At 36.6% G+C, this 6941-nt stretch overlaps 1 annotated feature.

Moving 5' to 3' along the window:
* Window positions 6568–6617: an enhancer, noted in NCBI's record as "active region_2289". NCBI's record gives its function as "activates an Ori minimal core promoter by ATAC-STARR-seq in GM12878 lymphoblastoid cells {active_cell/tissue: GM12878}" and the evidence as "EXISTENCE:reporter gene assay evidence [ECO:0000049][PMID:35858748]".

A 6941-nucleotide genomic window follows, 5' to 3' on the forward strand; every position in this document is an offset into this window, starting at 1 on the left:
GACTTTGTTAGAGCTGAGTGTGGCTGACCTCCCCTCTTCCCAGGGGAAAGGAGAATGTAAGGAGGTCTTCAATGTATACGTGGCATCATGGTCAAAGGCATTTTCAGTTTCCACTGTTCATACCTGGCCTCGAGTCCTACAGAATTCTGATCATTGCCAACTCAGTCCCTCAAGATTATCTCCTCCTGTCTTAGCAAATAGAGTCCCAGCTTCACTGACTGTAGCTGCTTGAGGAGAAAACAAGACCACGTCTTAGTTCCATAATAGATTAAAGGTTTTCATGAGCCATGCTGTGGCTGTGCAGTTCCCCTGGCTTTTTCTTTCACAAGAAACAAATCAATGTACTGTCTTCATTTGTTTAGTCCCAGAGTTTCCAAAGCTCTCTCTCAGGTAAGAAGAAGAGCTCAAGTGTTTTGTTTTTTTTTTTTTTTTTCCTCTCTAAGAAGACATCATCTTATCCCATTAGTTAAAGAATATTTGGTTTCATAGATTGAATCTAAAAATATGGATACTTACAAATATGAAACCTATTTATCCTGGTCAAATGATGGGATGCCATTGAAATTGAAGTGGTATTGTGTAAAGTTTGTGCTGGATAGTTGTTTTATTTATTTTATTTTGCATGCAGCTTCTGAGAAGTTTGAACAGTAGCAGTTTGTGATGTGGCAGTCACTCTTTCCAACAATACTAAGAATTAGTCTTTGTCCACACACACCAACTGCAATGCAGTCTCTGTTCTAGCACACACTGATGCTGTTGCCTATTTTCAGCTGGGTTGATGACTACATTCCAGACTCATGAAAACTAAGCACTGCTGTTATGGTACAAACCCTGGGTTTTCCTCTTGGCTGACACTAAAAATAACCCACCAAATTTGTAATTTTCAAGATAATTTTGGCTTTGGCTTTGTAAATGATGACATACATCTGGATTATGTCCTCTAACCTTGACATTGTTTCAAGTGTTATCTCTGAACACATCAGCTCTTAGTTTGTATTAAACAAATCCATATTAAATTATTTTAGTTTTGTATCTATGTGAAAAAATACAAGTGCAAATGTTTTGAAGATGATTCAGCATATATTTTCCCTAGTAATCATTTCATTTTTAAAATGTCCATATAAGTAGAATATATTAATTTACTAAGGTATAAAAAAATTTTAATGCAGTATTTTACTTCCAGCTACTTTTCTTCCACTTCAGACATAGAAAAAGAAAATATAGTTGAAAAGCAACTTATGACATTTTTCAAAGCTGCCAAGTTGTCGAACTTTGATTCTTGTGAGGTGCTAAGAATAAGCACAAGAGGGTGAAAAGTCTACCTATATCACTCTTGGGGCTCTGTGACAACTAGGAAAAGTGATTTCCACTCATTCCTCAGTCCCTGCCCCAGCAGGATGAAAGCATGTTGTTTTACAAGAAACATGCGCCTTTTCTTGAGTAGTAGGGAGACAGCTGATGCAATTGGAAGCTTTGCCATCTGTCCCTGTGACCACAGACTTTACACAGAAATGCTCCTACCAGGTCATGTATTTAGATTCTGTGGTCATGTATTTATACTATGTAATTAAAACTGCTGGGGAGAGAAAGGGTAGGCCAGACTGTGATGGTCTCTCCTTCAAGCCCTTACATAAAGTCTATTCCTGTTCTTGTTTGCCTGATGTTGATCCAGAACTTTTCAAGCTATCAATTTAGTGTAATAGATGCCTGTCATGACATTCACAAGGAAGGTCAAGCTACACACAAAATGATTTTCAAATTTTAACTTGGTAAGAATTTTTCATGAAGGATAGAATGCTGTATTCTGACTTAAGAAAAGATTTATTATTTACAGAGTGATCTTTAGCAAGACTTGGAATTTCCTCCTTCAGTGACTTTTGTCTCTCAGTCAGCTAGTGAAAGCACACAAAATGATCTTTCAACATTTTATCCAACGTTTAAATATTTTTATGGTGAGTATTTTGTAAAGGAATATAATGCTGTGAGTACATTTATCAGTGGTGTTTTTTTTCAAGTCTTATGGTGATAAACAAATCTGGGATGGGGATCATGACCCTCTGTTAGCAATGAACCTCATCACTAAGTCAGAGAGAGATTAGCTAGAAAACCTTAATGCTAAGATGAAGGGGAGAAGTGGGAACAAGAAAGAATGACAAAGAAGACAATAAAACAATATGTGCAATATGGGGGGATCTTCCTGGGGACATTTCACTGCATAGATTTACTTACCTCAACTAATAGAACAAGTTTTCCTGGTATTGGCTCCCTAAAGAACAGTACAGCTAGTAAGGATTTGCTGCTTTTATAACTTGACAAAAGAGAAAGTTTTATTCTCCCCTTAAACGTGATACATGTTTCTCAGACTAATTAGCAATATAAATTCGTGGTAGAATAAGAGTATCACTGAAACTCCTGAAAATCAGTCAAGCCACTCAGGAGCTATCGAGCAAGCATCTCTGCAGTGGGAATAGGCACATCAACCCTACTAACTGCACAGAGAAGAGCAAATGGATGGGAATGAACTGTGCCTCCCTTTGCATATTAGCTTATAAATAAAAGGCTGTCTACTGTTTATTATAAAAGTAATGGAAAAATTAGAAGACTTAGGGCATACTCAGGCCTTTCTGACAAGCTCGAGTATGTTTTCTCAGCATTTCCTCCCAAACCATGGTAGGCAACACACACACACACACACACACACACACACACACAGAAATCAAATCCAACACACTCACACAGAAGTCAAATCCAACACACACACAAACCCAATCCAGCCAGGAGGATCTCAACTGTCATCTAGATAGTATCTCTGATTTGAAAGGAAAATTGAAGAAGGAAAGAAGAAAGAAAAAGAGAGGAAGAAAAGAAGAAAGAACAGAGAGGAAGAAGAGTAGGAGTGGGAGAGAAAGGGAAAGAGTAGTAAGAAATAAAGGAAATTGAGACATTTTCTCTCTTGTGCTGACCACAACCATGGAGAAAAAGGCAATTAGACTATCTTATATCTTCATTGAATTGAAATCTCTTCTTCATTGAAAATGGTCAGTATGAAAGAGAATTCTATGCAGTTGTTTTTATTTATTTATTTATTTATTTATTTATTTATTTATTTATTTAGAGATGCAGTCTCGCTCTGTCACCAGGCTGTAGTGCAGTGGCGTGATCTTGGTTGACTGCAACCTCTGCCTCCTGGGTTCAAGCGATTCCCTGCCTCAGCCTCCAGAGTAGCTGGGATTACAGGCACGTGCCACCACCCCTGGCTAATTTTTTTGTATTTTAGTAGAGACAGGGTTTCACCATGTTGGCCAGGATGGCCTTGATCTCCTGACCTTGTGATCCACCCACCTTGGCCTCCCAAAGGAGGATTACAGGTGTGTACCACCGTGCTCAGCCGTTATCTTTTATTTTGAAATTAAAATCAGTTGCCCAAGAGAGCATGATGATTGTTTTTGTCTAGAGACAACTGAAAAGGGTGATGTGTTGCCCTGTATGACTTTCAGAACTTGAGGCATGTTATCAGTGCCATGCTTATTCAAAACATCAGTGAGTGGATTAGTCTGGTATTTGATGCCGTTTATATTCCAACCTCCCTTGGAGATTTCAATCCAAATGGAAGAGTGTATAAGATTTTTGACTAAAATAGACCAATGAAGTAGCACACATAGAACAAAATTCTAGGCACTCAACTTCAGAGACTCTATGCATCCATCTTAAGGAATACTCTTCATACCAAGAAAGAATTGTGATCTTTTCTGGGCCTGGAATCCTTTTCCCTACTTCTTTCTCAGTTAACACCCTTTAAGACAAAATAGAAGTGCCACTTTTTAAATATAATTTACCTTCTTCAAAGCAAAATTTTTTGCTTCATCTGTGAGTCTCACAACACCATTAGAGGCATCATTATAACAGGACCTCTTGGCACAGAAATTATTTTATCCGTTATCTCTTCTCCAAGATCCTCTGGAGCAGGACCTATGCCTTATTTAACTTTTTAAAACTTATTTGTTGTGGTTTGACACTCAATAATTTTAAAAATAATAATGTAGTAAAAAATTATTGTAGAAGGTTAGGAAATACAAAGGGGAATACATCAACAGATTTTTAGGAATTAGCAGAGAAAATGTTATTAAGATAGAGAAGAAGAGGAAGACATAAATTAGAAGAAATGGCGTGGGAGTGTATTCGGGGAGAGAATGGTGGGAGTGTAGGTAAATGGAGTAGAAATAGGGAGGTTGACTGTGGGAAACACAGAAAGATTAGTGTATGAGAAGCTGAGAGATGAGGCTGGGAAAGCTGTAACTTGAAACTGTGGGAATTAAGTCAAGAGGAAAAAGTTGGTTGATTTGTGTGAAGAAGGAAAGAAGAATTAATGGAAAAACATTGCTGACTACACAAAAATGCTTGGTTTGAAATGGAGGAGTCAATAGCAGTGGACTGAGTACAATGCAGCAGGAAATGGTGAGGCAAAACCAGTAACAGGATCTAAAAATGTCCAACACTTTTACCAGGGCCCTGCAAAGTGTTCGAAGGGAGTCTTTTGTGGATTATCTCATTTGGTCCTCAGAAGCAAATATCACAAGGGCATAAAAATGATCAATAACCCCAATTCATTCATTAAGACATTGCTCCTATTCTCAAGGAACTTATAACAGATCAAGGTGAGAAAATATAAAGAATAGGGATGAAAAATGGCAAGCAGTGGGTGAATGACAATAAGTGTTTTATATGTTCACAACTGGGGCCTGCTACTGGCATCTAAAGTAAAGAGGCCAGTGATACTGTTAAACATCCTACAAAGTGTAGGACATCCCCTTACAACAAAGAATTCACCAGCCCAAACAAAATGTCAATAGTGCTACAGTTAAAATGCCCTTGGACAGTGCATATAGAAACCTATTATAAAAATAGGTGTATTTCTTACATAAGCATTAGGTATTAGCACAAACTTCAGCTGGTACTCCACTTTGGTGATATTGAGGTAACTGTTGCTTTGTTTCAGTACCTAGAAATCAATCTTTTTTAAAAAAGTCTTGTTCCAATAGGAACTAATCATTGACTAATATAACAAAATCCAAAATGTGGACCACTCTACTGAACTATTGAACCAGCTTCTTAAAAATTCATCGCAAAGAACACACACACACACATACACGCACGAGAGAGAGAGGAAAAACTGTAGTTTTTAGAAGAGACTGAAGAGACCTATCAACCAATTACAATGTATAAACATTTTCTTTTTAAGAGCTGGGATCTCACTCTGTCAACAACCCAGGCTGGGGTGCAGTGATGTAATCGTACCTCACTGCAGCCTCAAAATCCTGGGCTCCAGAGATCCTCCTGCCTCAGCTCCTGGAGTAGCAGGGAACACAGGCGCATGCCACCATGACCGGCCAATTTTTTTTTTTTAAGAGATGGGGTCTCTCACTATGTTGCTCAGGTTCATAAACATTTTTTAATTCTAATTTAGATGAACAAGTCCTTAAAAATGTAATTTGGATGAACACCTCCTTAAAAATGTATGGGACAATCAGAAATTGAACAATAAGTGGGCATTTGGTGATATTAAGTGAATGTTAGTTTTTAGGTGTGATAATATAATATTTCAGAATGTTAGAAAAAAGACCTTATCTTTCAGAAAGATATACTGAAATACTAATGGATAAATAATATAATCTTTGGAATTGCGGAAAGAAGTGAGTGCTAGTATATGAAAAGTGTCCATGAACTGATAATTATTGAAGCTGTGTGATGGATAGTATGGGATAATTATACTATTCTCTTTAGTTTTCTATATGTGCTTCATATACTCACTAAGAAACAGTTTTACCCATATATACGCCAACCTAATTTATCACAAAAGTAACACTGCTGTGCAGTGGGCAACGTGTAGTTTTTCCAATAAAGGTGCTGCATCAATGGATTACTTATTTGAGAAAAATAAGTATCTTAATTTCTGCTCACCCAAGTCACAAAAATCAATTAAAAATGACTGTGGTCTATGTGGTTAAGGTAAAACAATAATGGCTTTAGATGAAAACATGGGCAATCATCTTCATGATTTTAGAGTAGTCCAAGATTTCAGAAACAGAACACAAATAGTTTTAAACTAAAGCAAAAAGATAAATCAATAGCTCTGTTCATCAAATGATAACATTAAATAAATAAAGAAGGAGTATATCTACAAAAAATTTACCCCCCACACAAAAAATCATATCTAGACTCTGTAAAGAACACCTGCAAACTAATAAGGAAAGGATAGAAAATCGAATAGTAAAATGCACAAAATACTTAAACAATTCACATAAAATACATTAAAATGGTCAATAAATATAGAAAAAGTTACTCATATTTATTACTCATTGACAAAATGCAAGTTAAAAAACCACAATGTGATACCTCTACTTCCTCACTGGAATTGTTAACATGAGAAGACAGACAATACCAGGTGTTGGTGAGGATCTGTAGCAACTGCAAGTTTCATATACTGTTGGTGTGAGACATAGTTTAGTATAGTTTAGTACAACCTCATAGAAAGCTCTTTGGCAGTGTCCTCTAAAGCTAAATGTATGCATACCTTACAGCCTAGCAATTCAAATTCTAAGGATATACCCAATAGAAATGCATACACATGTTTACCAAAACTCCTGTACTGGTATGTTCATAATTCTAGTGAAATACCATATGTCAGTAAGAAGGAACTGATTACAACTGTGTGCAAAAACAGTTCTAAATTTGCCAAGCAAGACGTTGAACAGGAAGTCACACACAACTAAATAGATACAGTATCATTTTGTTTTAATGAAATCAATTAAAATTAATAAAATTAGTCAATGATAAATTTTATTTTGATAAAGGTGAGAGATATGCAACATCTCTGGTTTTAGAAGTGGGTGTCAACTGTGGGGTGGAGAATAGTAACTGGAGTTGGCATAAGTGGGGTTTTC

This window comes from Homo sapiens, chromosome 1 (genome assembly GCF_000001405.40).
Source record: "Homo sapiens chromosome 1, GRCh38.p14 Primary Assembly".
Taxonomy (NCBI): Eukaryota; Metazoa; Chordata; class Mammalia; order Primates; family Hominidae; genus Homo; species Homo sapiens.